Source organism: Homo sapiens, chromosome 14 (assembly GCF_000001405.40).
Source record: "Homo sapiens chromosome 14, GRCh38.p14 Primary Assembly".
NCBI lineage: Eukaryota > Metazoa > Chordata > Mammalia > Primates > Hominidae > Homo > Homo sapiens.
The window spans coordinates 98,281,707-98,309,139 of record NC_000014.9 but is presented as its reverse complement, the minus strand read 5'-3'; positions in this window follow the sequence as shown (position 1 = coordinate 98,309,139).

Below are 27,433 nucleotides of genomic sequence, written 5' to 3'. Positions count from 1 at the left end.
GCAGAATCTGAAACTATATTGATGAAAATTTTGTCTCATTTTACACTAACTTTCTTGCACTTTGAATAGATATATTCCCCATGCACAACCTTATAACATCATGCATTGATTAGTTGAAAAATATTGCTCAGTTGAGTTATTGTGGAACTTTCAAATGTCAACACATTTCATTATACAATATCTAAAAGCAAATCGCCCACTATCTCATCAAGTCTATAATTATTGGAAAGCAGTCAGGCTCATGGTAAAAGGTAATGTTTTCAAAAAGTTGTATTTTTTACTAAAATTTCAAATTTTGTCACTAGCAACAAATACTGTCAATTGTGCAGTGGGAGATTCACTGTGCTCATTTTCACAAAAGTGTCTGCCACATCATTGCATTTAATTACTGTAGTTCATCAATTTCTCATTCAATTGAAAATGGTGCCTCTGTGGAAAGAGAGGTGAGTTCACCTTGTAACTCATACAATCACACATGTGCCTTCCCAAGCATAGAGCATGCAGAAGCACTGGACATGTAGTTCTTATTTTGTAGCACATAATAATACAAAGAAATAGAATACAATTCATATTTTTACTGCTTCATCAAGGACATGCTTCAACAAAACTGGCTCCCTCCTCCTTTTTTTTTTTTTTTTTTTTTTTTTTTTTTTTTTTTTTTGAGATGGAGTCTCGCTCTGTTGCCCAGGCTGGAGTGAAGTGGCCTGATCTCGGCTCACTGCAAGCTCCGCCTCCCAGGTTCATGCCATTCTCCTGCCTCAGCCTCCCGAGTAGCTGGGACTACAGGCACCCGCCACCACACCCGGCTAATTTTTTGTATTTTTAGTAGAGATGGGATTTTACCATGTTAGCCAGGATGGTCTCGATCTCCTGACCTCATGATCCGCCCGCCTCGGCCTCCGAAAGTGCTGGGATTACAGGCGTGAGCCACCGAGCCTGGCCTCCCTCCTCCTTTTTTTTACCTCCTTCTTTTTTTGGCTGCAAGTGTGTGGCAGTGAAAACAGTAGCCTCTAGGACAGCATGGTGCCACTAACTTACCACCTTACTTCATGTGAAAGAGCCACATGAAGCTTTCTTTTCACCCTGCATCCTTGCAAATGCTCACACAGTGACAAAGAGAAATAACATATCAGTATCATTATGAAAATAATTTTACTATCCTCGAATCCAGGAAGAGAGTGACACTTTGAGATCTGCTGCTTATTTTAATAGGTAAGAAAAATCAGCTCTGGCTAAGCAAACTTCTTAACAGAGGAAATAAAATTTTATAGTAAAGGGTTGATTGAATAAATCTCATTAAAACATATTCTCCCTGGATTAAAATATATATATATATATACACACTATTTTTTAGCATAGAAATTTAGACCTACAAAAAATGAGAAAATGTAGATGATAATTTTTCCACCTGGAAATAAATCCTGTTAATATTTTAGTGAACATTTTCTTTTCTTTCCGTGCATTTATATTATTTTGCAATCTGCCTTTTTTTTAACTTAACAATGTCTCATGAACATTTTTTCATATCCTTAAATATTTATGGACGACATCACTCTAAATTATTCAGTTCCCCTTCTGACAGGACATCACATTCTGCCTGCAATGCAGTGCTGCCTGATTTCTTGGTGAGATAGTGTTGAGAACCGATGTTGTGGAGCTTTAGGAATTCTTCCTTGTGATGATCGTGTTTACTGATGAAGATGCCACCCTGAGACCTGTAGCCTTTGACAGCTGCTGGTTACTCACAGACATTCCACATACAAGCTCCCTCTTCCCATCTTTTCCCTCCATGCGTTGTACATTTTTCTTTTCTTACAATTTTTTTTCTTTTTCTTTTCTTTTTTTTTTTTTTTTTTTTTTTTGAGGTGGAGTTTCACTCTTGTCACCAGGCTGGAGTGCAATGGCACCATCTCAGCTCACCACAACCTCCGCCTCCTGGGTTCAAGTGATTCTCCTGCCTCAGCCTCCCGAACACCTGGGTTAGCAGGCATCCACCACCACACCCAGCCAATTCTGTTTGTATATTTAGTAGAGATGTGGTTTTGCTGTGTTGGCCAGGCTGGTCTCGAACTCCTGACCTGGTGATCCACCCGCCTTGGCCTCCCAAAGTGTTGGGATTACAGGCATGAGCCACCAGGCCTTGCCTTTTCTTACAATTTCTATAGCCACTCCTAGATTCTCTTACACCCGCCTGGCTGGGCAAAGCATCCTCCTGATCTTTCTTCCACCAGCTTCTCCCATCTGATATTCATCCTTTTCATATTGGCACAAATCATCCTCTTTGAATGTTTCCTCCTCCTCATCCTTTAAATCTTTAATTTGCTGTGACTCCCTTTAACTCCTATGGCAAACCTGAGTACCTCATCCTGCATGCAAGTGGGTTCTGCAGTTGTCCACAGCCTTCATTCTTGCTTGCCTCTTCCTGGACTCCTGATTCCACTCCAGCCAGGCTGCTGACTGAAACATAACACACAGTGGTAGATCGTGTTTTTCGAAAGTGGCCACAACAACATTTCCAGTTCTACATGTTCTTCCAGAACCTTCATATTTCCCCACCGAGAACAAGCTTTGATCTTCTCTCCTCTTGAAAGTGAGTGGACTTTAGTGACTGCCTTGATGAAGAGAATGTGGCAGGAATGCCACTGTATGGTTTCTGAGGCTGATTTGGAAAAGGACTCACAGCTTCCCCCATCTCTCTCTCGGGGATACACCTGTGAAGCCCTGTACCAATATCTGAGAAGGCTGACTGCCCTGCAGTTACCAGGCTGGAGAAGCCACATAGAGGTAGAGGGAGAATGAAATGCTCACAGAGTCCCAGCTAGTGCAGCCTCCAGCTGGTTAAGTCTTTCCAGTCCCGACCTGTAAGTATGCAAACGCTTAAGGATTCCAGTCCTAGGTCTGAAGCTTCCCCACTGACAGTGAGTGGAGCCATTTCCGCTGAGTCCTGCACTAACTGCCGATTCGCGAGAAACATAAATGCCTTGGCTGCTTAAACCATTCGGTTTGGGTATGGATTTCAATGTAACAAAGGAAGACAAGAACACACATCTTGACATTTGCCATTATTATACAACAGATAAGCTTTTTTTTTTTTTTTTTTTTTTTTTTTTTTTTTTTTTTTTTTTTTTTTAGAGGGAGTCTCGCTCTGTTGCTCAGGCTGGAGTGCAGTGGTGCGATCTCGGCTCACTGCAACCTCCACCTCCCGGGTTCAAGTGATTCTGCTGCCTCAGCCTTCTGAGTAGCTGGGACTACAGGCGCATGCCACCATGCCTGGCTAATTTTTGTATTTTTAGTAGAGATGGGGTTTCACCATATTGGCGAGGCTGGTCTCGAACTCATGACCTTGTGATCCACCTGCCTCGGCCTCCAAAAGTGCTGGGATTACAGGTGTGAGCCACCACCCCCAGCTCCTTCTTTTTAGTAATCAAGAGTCAACCAAGCTTTAATACTCTGGCTGTGCTCTGCGTTCCTTAAGCAGTTATATACCCAGTTTATTTTCTGGTCCTTCTCTTTTTATTTTTTTAAAAGTTATTATTTAATATTTGACTCATACAAAATAATATATTTAATATATGCATGCAAAGAAGCATAATAATATAATGAACACTCATGAAGCAAATCATTACCAGTGCCATAATGTATATGTCACTCTTGCCCTGTTCTCACACTGCTAATAAAGACATACCTGAGACTGGGTAATTTATAAAGGAAAGAGGTTAATGGACTCACAGTCCCACATGGCTGGGGAGGCCCCACAATCATGGTGGAAGGTGAAGGAGGAGCAAAGGCACATCTTACATGGTGGCAGGCAAGAGTGTGTGCAGGAGAACTGCCCTTGTATAAAACCATCAGATCTTGTGAAACTTATTCACTATCACGAGAATAGTATGGGAAAAATCTGCCCCCATGATTCAATTACCTCCCACCAGCTCCCTCCTATGACATGTGGGAATTATGGGAGCTACAATTCAAGATGAGATTTGGGTGGGGACACGGCCAAACCATATCAACACTCCTCTCAGAGAATTTCTGGCTTGTTCTCATTTTTAATATTTCATAAGTATGTGTATTCCTAAACAATGTATTGGGTTTTTAAATACTATTATTTTGCGTTTGAGAAAATGGCATCATTCTCTCTGTAAGAGTCTATACCTACCACTGATCAATCCACCTTATACTTTAAAATATACCCATGTTGACTTGTGGCAGTGATTCATTTTTACTTGTGTGTAATAATCTGGTGGGTGGATTATACCTCAATGTCATTTATGTTTTCTCCAGTTTATGGGTACATGAATTGTGTCCAGTTTTTTTTTCGACAATAAACAGGGCTTATGTAAACATTCTTGTGCATGTGTCCTGGAGCACAAACATCTGAGAACAGAATGTGTCATATTTGAAAATAGAAACGTTCAGCTTTACAAGAAAACGTAAAACTGCTTTCCAAAGGGAAGGTACCAACTTTGACTTCCAACAACAAGATAAAATAGAGTCACCAACACTTGGCATTGTTAGGTATCTTAGTTTTTACATATCTAGTGGTTGCAAATGGTCTTAGTATATATTTAACTCATTACTAATTATATATGTATATTTGTATACTAATTATATATGTGCATATATTTGTGTTTTCTTTCTGTGAATGGAACTGTTCAAGGCTTTTGCCTATAATTCTGCTAAATTTTGTGTTTTTCTTATTAATTTGGATTAAGTGCATACATATCAATATTTTGGCTATGAGCCTTTTGTTTGCTATGTGTATTGCAACTCTTATTCCAGTTTATGAATGGTCTTTTCATAATCTCTATGGTGTGGTGACTTGGGGTGAACAGAAGTTTTGATTTTAACACAGTCACATGTTTTATGCAAATATGTCTTTCTCAGGGGAGACTGAGGGAATGCCTATGTAAGAAAATCCTTCCCTGTTTAGATATTATAAAAACTTCTAAGATGTCTAGTTATCAAACTTTTTTATGTTTTCTCTTACATTTTGATCTTTAATGCATTTAAGTAATTTTTACTTTAGTAATCAAGCCTCAGCCAAGCTTTAATACTCAGGCCACACTCTGCATTCCTTAGGCAGTTATATACCCAGTTTATTGTCTGTTCCTTCTCTTTCGATTCTTTTAAAAAGTTATTTAATATTTGACTCATACAAAATAATATATTTAATATATGCATGTGAAGAAGCATAATAATAAAATGAACATTCATGAAGCAAATCATTACCAGGGCCATAATGTATATGCCACTATTGTCTTGTTTGCAACTGATCCCACAAAAATACAGAATATCCTGAGGCTATTATGAACACCTCTATGTACACAAATTAGAAAATCTAAAGGAAATGGATAAATTCGTGGAAACAAAATCTCCCAAGATTGATCCAGGAAGAAAGTGAAAACTTGAACAGACCAATAACAAATTCTGAAGTTGACTCAGTAATAAAAAGAAAAACAAAAAATACTATCAACCAAAAAAGACCCTGGACCAGATACGGATTCACAGCTGAATTCTGCCAGATTTACAAAGAAGAACTGATACTAATCCTACTAAAACTATTCAAAAAATTCGGGGAAGAGCGGCTCCTTCCTAACTCATTCTGCAAAGCCAGTATCAGCCTGAACCAAAATCTGACAGAGATAAAATGAGTAAAAATAACTTCAGGTCAATATCCCTGATGAACATAGACAAAAATTATTAACCAAATACTAGCAAACAGAATCAAGCAGCACAACAAAAAGTTAGCATGTCACAATCAAGTAGACTGCATTCCTGCGATGCAAGGCTGGCTAAACATATACAAATCAATAAATGTGATTTACCACATAAAAATAATTAAAAACAAAAACCACATGACCATCTCAATAGATGCAGGAAAAGCTTTCAATCAATCCAACATCCCTTCATGATAAAAATCCTCAACAGACTAGGCATCGAAGGAACACACCTCAAAATAATAAAAGCCATTTATGACAAACCCACAGCCAACATTATACTGAATAGGCAAAAACTGGGTCATACATCTTTTATTATCCAATTTGACAGTGTTTTTCTTTTACCTATCCTATTTAAATTAGTTACATTAAATATAATTATTGTTTTTTAAGAGACAAGTCTACCATTTTATTATTTATTATTTGTTACCTCTTTTATTCTCTTATTTTCTTTGCCTATTTTATTTTGGATTATTTAAATAATTTGTATCCATCTATTGAGGTTTTAACTATACCTCTTTTGTAGTTTTTTAATGGTTTTTATTTAAAGAACATTCTTTAGCATTTTTTAAGACAGTCAGCTGGTGACAAATTCTCTCTTAGTTTTCTTTCATCTGAGGATGTTTTTATTTCACCTTTATTCCTGAAAAATATTTTCACTGGCTATAGAGATCTGGGTTGACAGCTCTTTTTTTTCTTTTCAGCACTTTAAAAATGTTGTCCACTTCCTTCTGGCCTTCAGTGTTTTAGATGAGAAATCTCCAATTATTTATATAATTGTTTTCCCTAAAGAAACATGTCATCTTTCTCTGGTTGCTTTCAGAAATTTTTCTTTGTTTTAAGTTTTCAGCAGATTTATTATGATGTGTCTGAGAATAAATTTATTTGAATTGGGCCTATATGGAATTCATTTACAAAAGCATTGATGCAAAAGCCTGTGAGTGCTGAAGGAAATGAGCAGCTCCTTCTAACCTCAATACAGATCTGACCTCCATAAAAATAAGAGGGAGAAAGAGGGGGATTGGTTAGAAATGCTCTTTGTACTGTTCTAAGTTCCAAGAAATGTTTGTTCTTGAGCCAAGGTCATCAACCGCTAGAGTTCTATATCTTTCAGCCATGGGCCTGAATTAGTACTTTCACCATGCTTGGTTACTGGCTGGGAGCAGCTCTTGAGAATTACAGCTTTGGCACAAATATGGTAGTGGATCCAGAGGAACAGAAGCTGAGATTGTTGACTATTTATGCTCCTTGCAGCGGGAGATCTGAATGGTACAGCTTCCCGGCTGCCATATTGGATTTACTTTGTAAAATATCATGCTGACAGCTGCATGGAGAGTAGCATACAGAAACCACGGAAGGAGCCGGGACAGTAGTTAAACTACAGCAACTACTAATGAAAGAGTACTAACGAGTGATAGTGTCAAAATTGGCAGAAGAGCTCAGATTTGAAGTATATTTTTAACATAGGGCCAACAGAATTTTCTGAAGGCATAGCTTTTGCATATGGGATAAAAGTCAAGAACAACCCAGATTTTCAGCTGGAACAACTCAGAAACAGTCATATAGTGATAAGCTTCAGGTTATTTCAGAATTAGAGGAAGAAATAAGGAAGACAGAAATGGAAGATATTGAATATGGAATTCAGCAATGTTTATAAACAGTTAAGATTTAGAGGGTGAGAGGAAGAAAGGATCCCTAAAGAATACATACCGTTTTTAAAAAATGATAGAGGAAAATTAAAGGTTAACATAAATGTGAAAGAATGAGACCCAGGGGAGTGAGGAGACTGGCAATTAACTGGTAGACCTTTATCATAGACAAAGCTGATGTTTTTCATTGTCTGGGTCAACACAGCAACCTTATATGTGTGTGTGACATGACACTTAATTGGCAGCCAAAATGAAATCTAACTTTGGAGTCTTTCATGAAAATGAATCCTTAGCAGCTCAGATTTTTCAGAATTAAAAGAGTCCTGAGAGATTCTCACTCCAGCCTCTCAGTATATGGGTGGAGAAATTGAGGCCAGGTAGGGGTGAAACATAATCCAAAATCACAAAGCCCTTAAATCTCAAGAAGAGCAATAAGCCCAGCTCTGATGGCTGGTCTCATATTTTCCTCTCACTTCTAAATCCAGGCGAGGCCTCCTATCTCCATCCAATGTATACCATGTTAAGCACTCTGTTCATGAGAGTACTTCTGGGAAAACAGTCAATCTATTATGACCAGGGTTTCTAAAATTCTACATATAAACAGTAGTTCATCAAAATGAGTACAATCCTAAAGGATTTGCAAGGTAACAGAGGAGAAACCGGCTTTTCTCGGATATTCAAGTCCCACTGCCTCCTTGCCAACTTCCTGCCCCAGCCCTGAATAATGTGAGCATCGGAATCTCTCCCAACTTATTTTCATGTTCAAGTCCTCCTAGATTTCGTGTCTGGCTCATGTACCAACGCTTCAGAAAGATTTCCTAATTTTTATCAACAGAAGCAATCTGTTTCTTTCTATAGACATAAAATTGTGTTTGTGTTTCTCTTAGAAGTCATCAACTTCTGTCTTGTGTTAGAATTGCTTTGTATAATCTTTATGTCCTCTCTATTCATCAGCTTTGCTTTTGTCACAAGCAGCCCCACAGTCTCAACAATGTATATTAACATTTATGTCTCATTCATGTTATATGTAGGCTGCTGGTTGGCTCTGCTTTAGTTTGTAGCTCTGTGGGGTGGAGCTGAATCTAATGTCTTCTCATTCTGAGAGACAGGCTGATGGAGCAGCATCTCTCTGGGACATACCAGTGTCATGGAGGAAGGCAGAAGTGTGGTGGAAGAAACTTTCCATGTCTTTTAAAGCATTTGCTCGGACAGTATATACTTTTTGTCTCCCATATCCCACTGGCCAAGTCCAAAGTCAATGAGGTATGAACTTTATGGCTTCCACCAGAAGGAGAAGCAAGTCACATAGAAATGAGTGAAGATGTATGACGAATTTTGCAGAAAAATTATACGATCAATCACATCTTACCTACCTAGTATTGAGCTCTTGAAAAACAGAGCCTGAAAACAATCCCTTTCTGACTTTCTTAAGATCTAGCACTGTGGCTAATGGACAGTGAGTACTCAGTCACTGTTTGAGTAATGAACAAACATTCTTCAAAAACTACAAGGCAGCCTATTGTCATATGAAAAATCTTCAAGCGATCTAGATTTTTTATTCCCTATGTATTTCTATTTCTAGCCAGTTATCACTTTACAATGAAGCAAAATTGTCCTGATCCAAAAATTTATCCAAAGTATTATATTACTTTTACAAAAATGTAGAACACAATGATAATAACTAAAATGTGTATGACATTTTCTAATCTATTTAGTGTGCTTTCTCACAGTAAATCAAGTCCAGAAAGCTGTGTTTTAGGCCCTTTATCTCTTTGAGTGTTGGTTTCTTCTATGAAATGCATGGTTTGTCTAGGTGGTCTTCAGGTCTTCTCTGCCAATTTCCTGGCTCTTAGGCTGGAGCATTTCAGCAACTTTGATGCTGCCATAGGACTTGTAAACAGTCAGCTTCTTTGGGAAACCACAGGCACAGGTAATTTTAACAACAGTGGCCACAGCCTGGCTGTTTAATCTCAGTCAAGCCTCTTCCCTTCCTGTGCCTCAGTTTCCCCATGTGTAAATTGAGAATGTTGGGCAAAATAATCTCATAACTGCATTCCATTAGAAATAATTTGCATTCCTAATAAAATTTTTGTTGCAGCTAATCATTTTGAAAAGCCAAAGTGTGGAATTCACTCTGATTGGCTCTATCAAGTTGGCCAAAGTGTTTTATTTTAGTGGCATGACCCAGAAAAAAAGAATAAGTTTGATTGCTCTGCCTCAGTTAGCTGAGTGTTGGAGTCAAATAGCCATTGGAATTCTTTTCTTTGTTTTCAAGCTTTTTGTGAATTGATGGTTCCATTTTTGTCCTGAGAAGATAGTTTTGTCTACGACGTGAGCTGGCTGCTCTAGAGACTTCCCGGCTGGGAATTTGGGTGGATTGTTCTTTTCTTCTGCTCCAGTTTGTGAAAAATACTCCAATTCAAGCAGAGTCCTCCATGTCTCTGAGGTTGCATTTTCTCATCCTCACTCTATTGCCAATAGCAATGGTAATTATTTCTAATTCTGATCTCTGAGGGCAAATTCTTCCTCTTGGTACTGACTGCCAAATCCTCCCATTCCAAGAGCAAGTGAACAAATGACCTGATGAAGACTTCAAAGGAGAAAAGCCAAACGCCAGACAATTACATCTGCAGCATGCGCTAGAGCCTGGGCCCTGTCTGTGTCACATTAGGTCTGTGCACCTGAGGCACCTCTTCCTGGGTAGCTGGTGCTGCAGAATATTCTCTCTGTTGACCTACATACTCCCATGCCCATGCTCCTTAGCATAGCCAAAGCATAAGACTGACCCACTTACTTCAGAACAGTTTTCATTATCTAATAGTAGGTCTCAGGACTGTCTCAAGAGCTTTATCACATACTCCTGGCCCCTGTCCCAGAGATTGCAACATAATAGGTTACCCTGATAAATATTTAAGGAATTTCCAATGTAACTTAACACACATCTTTTCATAAGGAAGGTGAAATGTTATGCATTATATTAATCTAAGTTGACACCCATAACCTCATCTGTGAGGCTGCGGACAACTTCCAGCAGGCCTCACCCCAGATCTGGGTTCAGCCATCTTCTGTGGCACATCCACGTCAGTGAGCCTGGCTCCAAGGCACCAGCCCATCGGCTCTCTACACCCTGCTACTCTCTGCAACACTTCCTGCGCTCTCTGCAACACATGCTTCTAGAAAGACAGCTGCGGTTTCTATTAATTAATTCTTTCAAAACATATGGACCTACCCTTGAGTAGAAATTCTTGTGTTTTCTCCGAGGAGCTTCCAAGAAGATACAGGACTTCAACTAAACAAACAGGTAGTGGGAGGAGGAGGAAATTAAAAGGAGGAACAACATTGATGGAGGAGAGAGCTAGTGGAGATGGAGAATGATGCAGAGACCAGGAGGATGTGGTATTGCAGATGTATAGAGCTGATGCTACCTCTACCAGGGAGCTCTCCTTGATTCTCAACTGGAAGTCACCCTTTCCTCAGCTAAATCCTGACAACTCTTTATCTGCCTTCTCCTATGGCGTTCAAAACGCTCTGTTTCATCATATCTGTGCTCATGGAATGTTTCTACCAATTTTTACTGTACCCTTAAAAAAAAAGAAGCACCATGTTAGTAATGTGGTTAAAAATGTGCATAGATTTGGAATCATAAAGTCCAGGTTTTAGGTTCAGGATCTGCTTCTTAGTACTTTTGGGACTTTAAGAAACTCTCAATAAACTCTTTAAGTTTTGGTTTTCTTATCTATAAATTGAGAATAACAACAACATTAAATTCAATGATTGTTAAAACAGCATATCGAGACAATGTATGTAAATGCCTCACTCCAGCATCTGCCACATGTAAGCACTAGGAGTTTAGCTGTTACTATTTTAAGAAGAAGTGGTATTGGTTTTCTGCCTTCACTCCGGAAATCGAAATATTTAAAAACGATTTCAGAACTAATCTGTCTAGAGTTATTTCTCAGACATATCACAGGCCTTTATGTGCTGGGTGCCCCTCCTAGGCAGCTGTCTTCCATGCGGTGACTCAGGGACCCACACAGTTTCCTTCTCGTGACTATGCCATCCCCTTTTTCAGAAGCTACCCACAATTTCTGATTTGTGAAGAGAAGAATGCACTGGACAACGGAGACAGGCAGGAAGGGAGCTTCCACGCACATCCTATTGACTAGGACTCAAGCACATGAGTCCACCTAAGAACAGAGGCAGGGCTGGTTCAGGAAATGCCGGTGTGTGCCACTAGCCCTGGAACATCATCCTTTAGGACAATCCACCCATTATTATTTTTCTATGATAACACTGATGTCTTAGCAGATTAAACAATTTGGCCCAGGGCATGGAGTGAGTAGATGAGGTGTGTAGCTTCGCTTACAAACACGGAGCCAATGCTGTAGCCTTGGCTCAATGTGATCACTATGAGGTGAGCATGCATAAACTGCTTTCCATAAGCTGGGCATGCTTTAACTCCTTCATGTCCAGGGTATTCACTGAATCCTCACAACAATCTCTGAGGCAGGTGTTGGTGTCATCTTCATTTTACAGATGAGGAAACTGAGGCTCAGGTAGGTTAAATAATTTTCCCAAGGTCACACAGCTCAATGAAGCAGGGCAGAGATTTGAACTTGCAAAGCCCTTACCCCCCACCACAGCACCATGCTGCCTGAGGGTGGCCAGAGCTCGCCCCCCACCACGGCACCACGCTGCCTGAGAATGGCTGGAGCTCGCTTCCCACCACAGCACCACGCTGCCTGAGAATGGCTGGAGCTCGCTTCCCACCACAGCACCATGCTGCCTGAGAATGGCTGGAGCTCGCTTCCCACCACAGCACCATGCTGCCTGAGAGTGGCTGGAGCTCACTTCCTTTATTGGAGTCTCCTGGCATGGGACAGTTGTCAGGGAATCCCTAGGGGGTGCAACCCTCCTGGCCTTAGAATCAGATAAAGGCTCCTGAGGAGCCCATGTGCAGGCACCAGGCTCCAGCAGGAGCTGAGGGTTGGGGAGTGGGTCTGGCTGGTGAAGGGGAGGTCACATGGGCAAGAGCCTGACTTCAGGTCTCCTGGAAGTACAGCTGCCAGTGATAGACTGTGTGTTCCCCCAGGGCTAAAGGTTGGGGGAAGAGGGTAAGTGATATTCACATGGTTCCTTCTGAAAAACTAAACCTAGAATCTGGGAGAATTGGGCAGATTAGAGTCTCAAGCTCTGTCTTTCTCTTAACTGCTGTGGGATTAAAAAATAGCAATATTGGTTAGGCTGATTTATATGAGAACAAAAACATCTCTCCCCAAATGCCTCCCTAGATTGGGGCTCTTACCCCAGGGTGTCTATGAGTGGGCTTCAGAGGTCTTTGAGAGCCTTTTTAAAAGTCTCTGACTTTGTGAGACTTGGGGTAGTTGCATTAATAACTTTTATCAGATTCTTTCAGGATCAGCAACCAAAAATGGATAGATGAATGAATGAATGGAAATTTTCAAAACCACTGCCTCTGTATGTCCTTCAAACTACTGAATAAGTGCTAGCAGCTGCCATGTCAATCACTGATTAGCAGGCTGATCCCAGTTGACAATCGGGTGGGGAAGAATCAATCACTGATTAGCAGGTTGATCCCAGTGGATAATCGGTCAGGGAAGTAACGTGGGCTCTGTATCGGGCCTTTCCTGCATTGCTATAAAGAAATACCCGAGACTGGGTAATTTATAAAGACAAGAGGTTCAGTTGGCTCACAGTTCTACAGGCTGTACGGGAAGCATGGCACCGACATCTGCTCTGTTGCTAGGGAAGCCTCAGGAAGCTTTCACTCATGGCAGAAGGTGAAGGGGGAGCAGGCACCTCACAAGGCAAGAACGGATGCAAGAGAGAGAGGGGAGACACCACGCACTTTTAAACATCCAGATCTCATGAGACTGGCTCACTATCTCAAGGACAGCACCAAACCATGCAGGATCCTCCCCCAGGACCTAAACACCTCCTACCAGGCCCCACCTCCAACACTGGGGACTTAGAAGGGACATATAGTCAAACTATATCAGGCTTATACATTGATTTCTCAAATGAGTATTTACAAAGCAACAATTTTGTGCAGCTAGGGATGAGGGTGCTGGGGATGAAGGAGTAAAGAGGACAGTGAAGTTCCCCTCGCGAAGCCTGTATTCTCGTTGTGGAGACAATAAATACACTTACAGCCAAATTCATAAAATAATGTCAGGTAGTCACAGTGACTAATTAGGTGACATTAAAGAAATCAAGTGATAGCCTCTGAACCTTCAATTCTTCATCCGTGAAATGGGGATGCTCATGCCTTCCCTGCCAGTTGCAAGACTGTCATAGGAAGCAGAAGAAAGCAAAAATAAGGGGGAACCCCGCAGGTGAAAGGGCTCCCATTCACCAGGCACCTGTGAGCCACCGGTGCAATTGGCGCCCTTCAGGGGATAACATGTACCTTTCCCAGCAGCAGCAGCTGGGTAGGAGTAGCCTTATTCTGTAGATGAGAAACTGGCTCAGAGAGTCTGAGCGATATGTCCAGGGTCACACAGCTGGTGAATGATGGAACCCATGGTTAGGTCAATGTCTATAAGGTTTCCAGTATGTGCCTTTTTCCACTAGGCTTCCGCTTACTGCTTTGAGGATGGAGGTAGAAGAGTGTTCCATGAGGGAGCAAGAAGGTAAGCATGGCAGGGGCAAGTTCAAGTGTTTGCTCACCCCTTGTCTGTCTTGAGCACTAGAACAAGGTAATGTTAATGGCTCAGTCCTTATTTCCACGTTGTAAAGTGAGGGTGCCGATACAGGTTCATCAGGGGCTAGGGGTCCCAGATTTTGAATTGTAATGTGGTCAGCAGCTTCCAATATGGCTTCCAAAGACATCCACCTCCTGGGGTTCATGTCCTTCTGAAATCCCCTGGTCTTGGGTGTGGGCTAGATCGACTCACTCCCAACTAATGAAAGACTATGGGGAAGGTGATGGGATTTCACTCACACAATTAGGTTACGAAGACCGGGACTTCTGTCTTGCTGCTATTTAGCTCTCTGGTCCTTCTTACCTGCTTACTCTGATGGAGAGAGTCACCTGGGAAGGAGCTGAGGGCAGCCTCTGGCCAAGAGCCAGTGAGTAACTAAGGGTGTCAGTCCAACAGCCAGTGAGGAGCTGAATCCAGCCAGCAACCATGTGAGCGATCTCAGAAGAGTATGCTGTCCCAATCAAACACTGCGATAACTATGCCTCTGCTTGTACCTGTACTGCAAGCCTGAGAAAGACCCTGGGCTGCTACTCTGATCTCAGCCTCTTAAGAGACTCTGAGGCAGAGGATCCAGTTAAGCCAAGTTCAGATTCTTGACCCGTGGAAAATGTGAAATAACAAATGCTTTTTGCTTTACATTGCTAAGTTTTGGTATACTTGGTTAAGCAGCAATCAATAACAAATAGGCAATAAGTGCTCATATAGTATACTGTGTGCTACCTCCAGCGGGGTCTGGGAGAGCGCCCTGTAAACTCATTAACATTTCTGTACTCAAAACTATGCTTAGTGCCATTCCGTAGGATAAATGAAGATTATAAATGACATCACATTTGTTCAGTTAAGATTTTGCCACCACATACGTTTGTGCCAAATTTATGAACAAACATCTGGCTTTCAGAGGATTCTGAATTTCAGGATTTCAGATAAACAGTTGTGGATTTCTTGCACATCCCCCAAGGATGTTGCTATGATTCAGTGACAACGTATTGAGATAACACACTTCACAAGCTGCAAAGACCCTTTGGTAGCTGGAGCCTGCTGTGGCTGATGGTGAGCTATCAGCCCTGAGTAGACATGAGCTCCTCCGGATCAGACTCAGACCCTCCACCAGGCAGAAGAAACCAGGAATGCAGAGACCCACACAGGCTCAACTGGTCCCATTGCACTCCTTGCCAAGCTGCTGCTGAAAGAAACTTTTATTCAGTAAACATTTGCTCAGCACCTGCCATGGAGCATTGTTTCGACCTAAAAGAAGGCATGAATGATTCACCAAAACCAGGATCCAGGCCAGGGCTTGTGTGAGTTGCTCCCTGTTCCAGGACCTGATTTCCAAGAACAAAATTCAATTCTGCCAGAATGTCATCAGAAACCAAATTAGGAACTTACAAGACCACATGGTGTGCAGGAAGGTGGGGGCCACACGACAGGGTTCTTTGTTTCCGTACGGAGCATGTCCACACCAGCTAACCTGCCCAGCCTCCTGGTAGTGAAGTCGCTGAAGGAGAGGTCCAAGCCAGCCCTTATCAAATCCAAGGCTGAGTCTAAAGGGGGTTGTGAGGTTTTCACTATGTTTGGGCATCATACTTCTCAAAAAGGCTGCCACCACACACTGACCATGTCTACGTTAACTGTGAGATCAAGTATTACAAGGTGATCTTTACTGACTTTCAGAAACCTTCCCACCTCATCAAGGATTTTATTTAAGGTACATGCATTTTAATGATTTTAGTATTTGGGAGATGAAAAGGAGACCATTCCTGGTATTTTTTTTTTTTAATTCCAAGCTTCAGGCTGAATTTTTGGTTTTTGTTCGTGATTTTTTTTTTCAACAAAAACTAGATCTTGTTGCTATCTTCAGTGTACCAGTGACTCTCAAATAGCCTTGGAGTTCTTTTTCCCACCCTTATAAATTGACATAAGAAAAAGCTCCACATTTTCCTGAAGTCACCCTCAGAATTCACACACTCGCCAAAAGCTGACTTCGTTTTTCAACCCAGAGTGGAGTTTAAGAGCTCCAAGGGTTGGTTTTGGCAGTGGCTTAATTGTAATACTGAAACGTCGCTGCAGGCAATTTTCTTTGATTTAATTAGATGAACTGTGTTTTTTTTTTCTTTTTGCAAAAAGGCTTTATTATGTAGAAATGAAATATGTATAAATTTAATTTTTAATCTTGTCACTACAGTGTAGGAAGGAGCAAGCCGATTCTTTTAATTTTCCCTCTTTGTTTAAGAAAAAAATTAAATTAATTCAAGTATTTATGAGTAATTGATTTTACTTTTTGCACTGTAGTCAGAAGTGAAAGAGTTAAGACTGCCCAATTTATCCCCAATCTAAGACTCCAATATGACTATCTCAATATGTAAAAGCTAACACTTTTACATATGGGTATATGGGTATAGAGAGTCCCCTATATACCCATTTCTGAGAATACAGCAGGTTTGGCCACGGTATTGACACCATAGTTTAGTGAGGTATAGAATAATCCAAAACTATGCTTTAGAAGGGAAACTAGGTGGCAGAGGAGAAGGAATGACCTGGTTGCTTAGTCCTTGCAGGAATATTCAGAACTTACTACCTGTCCTGGGTGAGTGGATTTAACCCTAAACTCCAATTGTTGTACTTCTAATCATTGAGTCATTCTTGCCCATTCCTCTGAGCTCAGCCTGGCATCAACTCAGGGTTAGTGGTGGGAAACTGCTTTGTTTCTGGAACTTAGAAGGGCTAACACTGTGCTTCGTCAACTGTGGTGTGCCCGATGATCTGAAAAATGGTGGAAGAATTGTGGGACATCCAGCAGGTCTGGGGTGGGGGCAGGAAGTGGCACCTGGTCAGGTGTTTTCCTACAGGGGACTAGACAATCAGGCCCACAGGAGGGGTGTGTACTCGTTGTTGTTTTTTGTTTTGTTTTGTTTTGTTTTTTCAGACGGACTGTTGCTCTGTCGCCAGGCTGGAGTGCAGTGGTGCGATCTCGGCTCACTGCAACTTCCACCTGCCAGGTTCCAGTGACTCCACTGCCTCAGCCTCCTGAGTAGCTGGGACTACAGGCACCCGCCACAATTCCCCGCTAATTTTCTGTATGTTAGTAGAGATGGGGTTTCACCATGTTGGCTAGGATGGTCTCGATCTCCTGACCTCATGATCCACCCGCCTCGGCCTCCCAAAGTGCTGGGATTACAGGCGTGAGCCACCGCGTCTGGCCCTGTACTCTTTTCTCTCTGGGCAGAGCCTGCAAAGGTGGCCCTGCAGTTTTCAGCAGATCCTTCTGCCAAATATTCCTTTCCATCCATGTCTTCCTGACTCTGTTTTGCTGGGTATATAATTATTTTGTGTGCATATTAAAATACATAAACATGTATTTATATTATATATATAAATTATTTTATATTCTGACATAATTTTATATTATAACATATAATATAAAATAAATATTAAAACAGACTTATACAATGATATTGCATATACAGTCTATTATATACATGTATGAGATGCAGAGTAAGAATGCAGAAAAAAACACATTGGTGCTATTTTTGTATGTAAGTTTCTGTTTTTTTGGTAAGATAGTTTTAAGCTTTAGAAAAAAACAATTATCCACTTAGGTCAGGGTTTCTCAACCTTGGCAATCTGGACACTTGGGGGTGGATAACATTTTGGTCACTAAGGGCCATCATGTGCAATGTGGAATGTTTAGCAGCATCTTTGGCCTTTACTTACTAAATGCTGGCGGTGCTTTCCTCCCAAGGTTTGACAACAAAAAAAGTCTCTAGATATTGTCCAATGTCACCTGAGGGGCAAAGTTGCCTCTGCATGAGAACTACTGAGTTACACCAAGTCCTAAGATGCTGACCAGGCCCACCAGAGCCCAGCCATCCTGGGGACACACCGGCTCAGCCTGAAGCCCTCTGTGTTAGGACTTATGTTCCCATATGCTGGACTAGGAAAGGGAGGCGCTAAGAAACCTCTTCTCTCGAAGAAAATAAGATTGCTAGTAAATGGCAAAAATGGACTTCAAAGCAAGGTAATATTTCTGGTAAGTTCAAAACCAGACTTCAACCAGGCACAGTGGCTCACTCTTGTAATCTCAGCACTTTGGGAGGCCAAGGTGGGGGGACTGCTTGAGCCCGGGAGTTCAGGACCAGCCTGGGCAACATAATGAGACACTCATCTATACAAAAAGTTTAAAAAATTAGCTCGATGCTGTGGTGCATGCCTGTAGTGCTAGCTACTCAAGCAAGGTGGGGAGGCATTGGTGCGGGTGGGGGACTGAGTTGAGATCACTTGATCCTGGGAGGTTGAGTGAGCCATGAGTCACTAAGCCTGCAGTGAGCCATGATGGAGTCACTGCACTCTAGCATGGGCAACAGAGTGAGATTCTGTCTCAAAAAAACAAAACAAAACAAATACACACAGACACGCACACAAAAACAAAAAAACAAAAGCTGAACTTCAAAAATTAGTATCTTTCCACAACAACAAGTATATACAAATAACAGATGTTTCCTGTGGGTCCAAAATCCTTGAATGCCAAACTCAGAAGGCTTGCAATTCATTGAGTGAGACACGACATATCAGAAATGAGTTTCAGAGGATGAAGCTGGGAGTAGCAGTCAGGGCAGCAGAGAGGTGTTAGGAAGAGTGCTAAGCCATTTGGGCCGCTCAATCATTTATGGTTTCTCATGGTAAATATCAGTGGCCTTTGACAATTCCAGGCAGGTGGGAGCTCCATCTCCTCCTGTGAGTGCTGGTTGTCAGGAGCTAGAGAGAAGGCACCTCCCAGACTACACAGAAAAAGGGGTCATCAGCAGGAAGGTGCAGTGGACCCAGTTTCTGAGAGGTCAGCTGTTTAGCACTGGTGAGGCATGCTGTGTTCCAGGGGCAGCATCCACCAGATCCAGGCTGACTGGGTGGCGGGTTGCTCTGCAACGTGGGGAATCAGAATCAAACGCACTGCTAGACTAATCCAAGACCTCCACCTTGACGGTGCACCAGTGTGAGCTGTAGCTTTTGCCGGGTCCAGAAACCATGCCGGTGCCTACCCACTGCTGCCTGGACAGTCTTTCAAGCCCCAGCCATGTTTTGAACACCTTCCCTTTGAACAATGGAGACTGATCTGTAACTTCCTAATGCAGCTTGGCAAACACTGCAGTGAACATTTAAATAAAGGACTGCGCATGCCGGCTCACGCCTATAGTCCCAGCACTTGGGAGGCCAAGGCAGAACAATCACTTGGGGCCAGGAGTTCGAGACCAGCCTGGACAACACAATGAGACCCTATCTCTACAAAAACCACAAAAAATAGGCCAAGGCAGGTGGATCACGAGGTCAGGAGATCGAGACCATCCTGGCTGACATGGCGAAACCCTGTCTCTACCAAAAAAAATACAAAAAATTAGCCAGGTGTGGTGGCAGGCGTCTGTAGTCCCAGCTACTCGGGAGGCTGAGGCAGGAGAATGGCGTGAACCCGGGAGGCGGAGCTTGACATGAGCTGAGATGGCGCCACTGCACTCCAGCCTGGGCAACAGGGTGAGACTCCATCTCAAAAAAAAAAAAAAAAAAATAGCTGGGCATAGTGTCATGCACCTGTCGTCCCGGCTACTTGGGAGGCTGAGGAGGAAGGATTTCTTGAGCCCAGGAGTTAGAGGCTGCAGTGAGCTATGACTGCACCACCGCACTCCAGTCTAGGCAACAGAGAAAGACTCTGTCTCAAATATATAAATAAATACATAATAAAGAAAAAATTAATGCTATTTGAAGCTCTCACTTTCCCTGGGAGCTAGACTAGAGTGAGCTTACTAGCAAATGCATCTCACTCTTTATACTGGGTTATTTTCAGTAAAAGGCAGACAATTTGATTTCGTGGTTGAGATGAAGAGAAGAGATGAGGAGGACTTAACGAAGCCTGTTTCCAGAAACTGGGGCATTTTAAACTCCTTTCCATATGAGGCAAAGGGGGCCCAGAAATATCCGATGACCTGTCTGGTGTCACATGGCTCATGAAGAGGCAGGGTAGGCGCTGGTTCCCAGGCCCCTAAGCAGCCAGCCTTATCCCACTGTTTACTTCCAACTGCCCTGAATTTCCTTGGAGTCGGCAAGATGGCTGGAACACTCCCAGGCATGTGGATCACTATGGATCACACCCTCCCTGCCCCCTCCCCACCTCCGCATGAAGCTTCTCTTTTCCTGGCCCCTCTAAAGGCCTCCCCCATGCAAACATCCACATGAAATTACTACACTTATAATCTGTCCCTACATGTAACACTTATCTTTTTAAGACATGGTCTGGTGGTTACACACATGATATTTCCCGCTTGATGCATTTTCATTTCCCACCCTCTGGAAAAATGCTATTACGGGAGTTTGCTGTATTTGGCTAAATACTGGGTTTATTAAAACGCATCATGTTTCTCTGACAATCTGATCGGCTGTGGGGACTGAATGGGCATATTTAACCAAATTGAAAGCACACATTATTGACCTAATAGATGAGAAGGGGGATTCTCACACATTGAAGGAGAGATTGATTGGCACTAGGGTAGAAAACCCCTCATAATTTTCCTGAAGCCACACAGTCACTATGTTTCTTGCCTCCCCCATTTGGATTTGAGTGCTTGGCCTAAGCAAATTTTAGTTAGGATTTCTTTAAGTTTCTCCACTTGTAATTAAATTAAGCTGTGGCTTGGTTTTGCCTAGAGTCCCAGGTGCCAACCCAAAGCATCTTTAAATGACACATTTTACGAGCATACGTGGGGTTTACAGTTAAACATGTCCATTGATGGGAATCTGGTTGAAGAGTTTTCTCTCATCCTGAAACTCAAGACACCAAATCCAAAGGTGGAATGAGGAGCTGTGTGATCCATGGTTGTGTTTCCTGCTTTCTGAGATGCTCAGGGGGAACCGACCATAATTAGTTTGTATTTGTCACCAGGGATGTTGCCACTCAGAAGGAAAACAGTGAAAGAGGGAAGTCACCCCAGTCAAAGCCCCCCTAATACTCACAGGGAATTTGAAACTGTGGGGTGGCACTGAAGACCCAAGAGGAGCCGCCGTGGAGAGTGGAGGCCCACAGGGAAGAGGATGGGAGCTGGTCCTGTGTCTGCTGCTGGTTTACTGTGGGGCCTTTGCAGGTCAACTCACTGAAGATTCCTCAACTCACAGAATGGCTTTGGACTGACCATCCAGGCCAGTTGGGCCAACGGGTGTTAACGCATACGTAAGAGCACAGATTGTGACTCACAGGCTTGACCCTGGGTCTTCCAACCAGGCTTCAGCTTTGAGCAGATCATGTAACTTTAAGCCCAGGTTTTTGTGTCTTTAAGACAGAAATTAAAATTCTTACCTCAGTAGGTTGGTATAAGAAATAAAAGATGTTTAAACTCGAATCTTAACCCCAAGATGATGGTCTTTTGTGCAGAGTTCAGGAAGATTATTGGAAGATAGTTCTGCAGTGTGAATGAGTCTGAATGAAATTACCCCCACCTCTGGGATTCCACTGCCCAGTGGCCTCCAGTGACTTTCCATTATCCAAAATTCAGGTCCACAGATTTTAGTGGGAATGAGAATCATGGGAGCTCAAAGAATGTGACTTCCTCCTGCTCTCAGGCAGGGATTAATTTGAAGATTGGCTAAGGTCAGCTATCTGGATTTTAAGATGACTCTTTGAGGTGCAAATGATCTGCAGACTATCTCTATGAGACATGCTTCTAGAATAAAATGCATGGTTTCTAAAGCCTCCTGTAACCTGGTCTCATGGTACCCCTCACCTTTACATCCCGCCCACCTTACACACACTGAATATCTGTTTCCACACTCACTCAGCTTTGCTTTCATCCTCACACATGCTCATGTCTTCTGTACTCATTGCTCTTACACATACCTGAAAATTACTCCACCTCAAACCTGCCTGGACTATGCCCTCATCATCTAATAGTTTTATGGGGTACAATTTTGTCTGCAGGTTTCTTTCTCACTACTATGGTTTGAATGAGTTCCCCAACATTTGTGTATTGGAAATAATCCCCAATGCAATGATATTGAGAGATGAGACCTTTTCTTAAAACAAACAAACAAACAACAAACAAAAAACACTTTTATTAAGTTCAGCGTACATGTGCAGGTTTGTTACATAGGTAAATGTGTGTATGGGGGTTTGTTGTGCAGACTATTTCCTCACCCAGGTATGATGCCTAGTACTCATCAGTTATTTTCCCTGATCCTCTCCCTCCCTACACCCTCCATCTTCCAATACTGGTGAGATTATGAAGAATAAAGGAAGCTTATACACTGTTGGTGGGAGTATAAATTAGTTTAACCACTGTGGAAGACAGTGTGGCAATTTCTCAAAGACCTAAAGACTGAAATATTAATATTATTCCACCCAGCAATCCCATACTGGTTGTATACAGAAAGGAATATAAATTGTTCTATTATAAAGACACGTGTGTGCATGTTCATTGCAGCCCTATCCATGAAAGCAAAGACATGGAATCAACTTATATGCCCATCAGTGATAGAGTGGATAAAAAAATGTGGTGCATATATACCTTGGAATACTATGCAGCCATAAATAAGAACAAGATATGTCATTTGCAATGGCATGAATAGAGCTGGAGGACATTATCTTTAGCAAACTAACACAGGAACAGAAAACCAAATACTGCATGTTCTCACTTACAAGTGGGAGCTAAATGGTAAGAACACATGGACACATAGAGGGGAACAACACACATTGGGGCCTATCAGAGGTGAGACCTTTAAGAGATGATTAAGTTGTAAGGGCTTTGCCCTCATAAATGGATTCATACTGTTATCCGGGAAGTGTGTTCTTTATAAAATGAGCCTATCCCCTTTTCTGTTCTCTCTTGCATGTCCTCTCTTGCCCTTTGGCCTTCTTCCATGCAAGAAGGCCCTCACAGGTTGCCAGCACTTTAGTCTTGGACTTCCCAGCCTCCAGAACTGCGAGTAACAAATTTCTGTTCTTTGTAAATTACCCAGCCTCAGGTATTCTTTTATAGCAGCACAAAACGGACTAAGATACTCACCGAAGACATTTTTCTGTTTGCCATTCCTCAGCATTAACATCACCTGTAGGAGTAGAAAGTTTTTTGGTCGTGTTTTAATTTTTTTAAATAACCTGAAGTCAGTACTTGCTAGAGTCAACTGAAATGGCCCTGTTTACATGGGACCCGAGGGCCTTTTTCGATGGTGGCAGCTTTTGAGGGCTAGCCTGGAAACCTACTATCACTTACAATATGGTTCTGCTGGGTAATGCATTCTGAGTTCCAACTCATTATGCAAAATAAGGCAGAAACATGCCCTCCCTTTTCCTCTGACCCCAGTAGTGGGGATCCTATCTTCTCTCCTCACTGCTTCCGCATTGCTTGTGGCAGGGAGAAATGGCACGTTGGTCCTAACAATTGCTCTGTCCTGCAATTGCTATGCAAGACACAACAACTGGGGAGTGGGAGAGAGCAAGAAGGTGACCATGGGAAGATTGGATCTCCATGGCCCACTTGTACATCTACTCCTGAGTTGGAAGATGAACATGTTTGTATTAATAGCTCCCCAAGTTTTCTAAATGGGTGAAGAAAAAGCAAAAGTAGTCCAGGTAGCGTGGCCAATAAATGGAGAAGGTTACCTGAGTATCTGACATAGGTGAGTCACTGGGCTAGGAGCTTTCTATAGGGTATTATATTTAAGCCTCAAAATACCCTAGGAGGTAGGCACTTTTACCCTTATTTTATAGAAGAATGGTTGGGGACTCTGTGAGATAAAGGAACGTGCTTCAATGTCATCAAGCTCTGAGTGGCGTTTGGCTTTGAATCTTTGCCATACCCTCCTCCAAGTCTACACTCATTACACTAACTTAGGAAGTAGATGCTCAAGAACTTGTTCAGTAAAGAATCATAGACTCCAATAATGAAATAAGATGCTGCCTTTAATAATAAGGTATAGAAATTATTTATAAAAAAGAATGATAATGATTTTTGTTTTTTGTTTCATTTTGTTTTGGAAAGGGGATGATGTTTTTGATTCAGTAAAAAAAACAGGTTATAAAACAGTCTGTTCTATATAAAACGCATGCATGCATTTTAAAGTATGTGAATCAAAACCGAGTAAGGATTATATTGTTAATGTGATTTTATATTATTTTTCAATGAATATGTATCATTTATGTAAAAAAACAATAAATTATAAAACAAAATACCACCAAGAAGAAGAACAAAATAATATTCATTTGGTAAAAAATTAAGTCATCACCAACAAAGCAAGCACCTCCCCCTCCAATACTTATGCTACTGATGGAGGTACCAGAACTACCACCACAATCACTATTACCAGCAAAACTAGCGTCAGTTCACTCATCACAATCAATATCAAACCACCACTGCAAATACCACGACTGCAATTACCACCACCACTACCATCACCACCACCACCAGCATCAGCAGCAGTCTCACAAACACCAGCCCACAAACACGAGGACCACCCCACCATCAACAATGAAGTTACTCATTGTCTTACTGTTCAACAGACACTGGACTTGTAAATGTCAGCAGAGACATATAAAACATAACTTCTGCCCTTAAGGGGTGCTGATGAGCTTGAAGAGGATGGATAACTTGTGTTAAAAGATAAGCCCTTTCATCTTGGTGTCCCTAAAAGTTAGGATGGTTCTTGGCATTAGTAAGTGCACAGTAAATGTTTGATGAAGAAAACAAATGAATACACCAGCATGTGTTAACCATAAGTGTTGCTGAATTTCAAACTATTACTTCAGAACCACAGGCTGTGCAGATAGATGGAGCTAATTTGTGATGATATGGAGACGCCATTTTATTTTCATTAAAGTCCTCATCTGGTGCCTTTGTAGCTTGCATTAAATGTCATTTTTCATGCTGTGGTCGTAGAAGGGCCCCTGGACCCTGGTCCCATTAAACAGGCTCTGTCTCCCACATGTCCATTTGATATCATGAGAGGCAGTTAAAGCTAGATGGGCCCTTCAAATTTGCTCCACACCTCTAGGGAAACTGAGGCTGAGAAAGCAGATATGATTCATGGATGGCCACATGGCCTCATTCTTCCCTCTGTAGCACACTGTCTTCCTGTCTGTTCTTTTGTTTGTTTCTCCTGTGCTTAAAGAAGGAACAAAAGGGTCAGAATTTCCATAAGAAAATAACACAAAAGCTAATCATTGCTTATTTCTATGTGAGATGCAAGGCTAGAAATCCTCCACACATGGTCTCATTTTTCCTCTCAGCAACTCAGAGACGTGGGCCATGTTTTGTCCACTGCACAGATGAAGAAAGTGAGACACAGGGTCGGTGAAGGGTCTATCAAGGTCACACAGCTGCTATGGAGTTAAACCCAGGTCTCGCTGGCTCCCAAACCCATTCCCTTTCCACTTCACTGCCTTTGGTAGTCATTCAGTTATGTTTTGAAAAGACAGTTTTTACACTGTTTGTGGGACTGTAAACTAGTTCAACCATTGTGGAAGACAGTGTGGCAATTCTTCAGGGATCTACAACTAGAAATACCATTTGACCCAGCCATCCCATTACTGGGTATATACCCAAAGGATTATAAATCATGCTGCTATAAAGACACATACATGTTCACGTATGTTTATTGCGGCACTATTCACAATAGCAAAGACTTGGAACTAACCCAAATGTCCAACAATGATAGACTGGATTAAGAAAATGTGGCACAAATACACCATGGAATACTATGCAGCCATAAAAAATGATGAGTTCATGTCCTTGTAGGGACATGGATGAAGCTGGAAACCATCATTCTCAGCAAACTATCACAAGGACAAAAAACCAAACACCGCAGTTTCTCACTCATAGGTGGGAATTGAACAATCAGAACACATGGACACAGGAAGGGGAACATTACACACCGGGGCCTGTTTTGGGGTGGGGGGAGGGGGGAGGGATAGCATTAGGAGATATACCTAATGTAAATGACGAGTTAATGGGTGCAGCACACCAACATGGCACATGTATATATATGTAACAAACCTGCATGTTGTGCACATGTACCCTAGAACTTAAAGTATAATTAAAAAGAAAGACAGTTGTGATAGCAATTTATTATGTAAATGTATCAATGGTTTCTATTAGCCACAGAAGAGCCTCCAAACTCTTCAAGATGGCAGTCCAAGGCCCTTGATAGTTGGGCCCCAGCAAGTTCGCCCAACTCCCTTGTCTCCACTCTACCCATAAACATTATCGACTTTCCGGTCCTCAAGGCAGTGCTCTCTGATATTGTTTGGCTGTGTCCCCACCCAAATCTCATCTTGAATTGTAGCTCCCATAATTCCCATGTGTCTTGGGATGGACCAGATGGGAGGTAATTGAATCATGCGGGTGGATCTTTCTCATGCTATTCTCATGACAGTGAATAAGTCTCACGAGATCTGATGGTTTCATAAAGGGAAGTTCCCCTACACACGCTCTTTCTTGCCTGCCACCATGTAAGACATCCCTTTGCTCTTCCTTCTTCTTTCACCATAATTGTGAGGCCTCCCCAGCCATGTGCAACTGTGAGTCCATTTAACCTCTTTCCTTTATAAATTATGTTTTTATTAGCAGCATGAGAACAGACTAATACACTCTCTAATACCCAATACCTTGGGCTTACACGAGCACTGCTCCCCTTTCCTGAAACTCTCCTCCCTTCCTTCTCACCCAGAAGCATCCCTGTGATGTCTCTGATCCTACTGTAAATTCCATCTTTTCTCTGCTATCAAATCTGCAAGCAAAGCTCTGTCTCTGAGCCCCATGTCCTCCCAGTGTCATGCATATGCAGTAGCCCCTCATCCATGTTATCCAACCCCAGTGGATGCCGGAAACCTCGGAAAATTCTGAACGCCATATAGCCTATGTTTTTCCCTACACATATGTATTCATGATAAAGTTTAATTTATGAATTAGGCACAGAAAGAGATGAACAACAATAACCACTAATAAAATGGAACAATCTCAATGTCACACTATAAGAAAAGTTTTATGAATGTAGTCTGTCTCTCTATCTCTTTCTCTTTCTCAAAGCATCTTATTCTATCACACTCACCTATTTTGGACCATGGTTAATCTTGAGTAACTGAATCACAGAAAGTAAAACTTTGGATAAGGGGGACCACTGTAATGCCTTCTTCTATACTTACAGTAGTTGGTTTGTGCCTGCAGTGCTAGACTTGCCCAGTTGAACCCGCACAATTGTTTTGTGTGTGTGTTTACCCACCAGACTGTGAGCTCCTAGAAGATAGGGACCATGTTAATGTTCACGCGTGGAACCTATGGACCCCTTAGCCCACGGCCCTGTTGGCGGAATTGTTGTT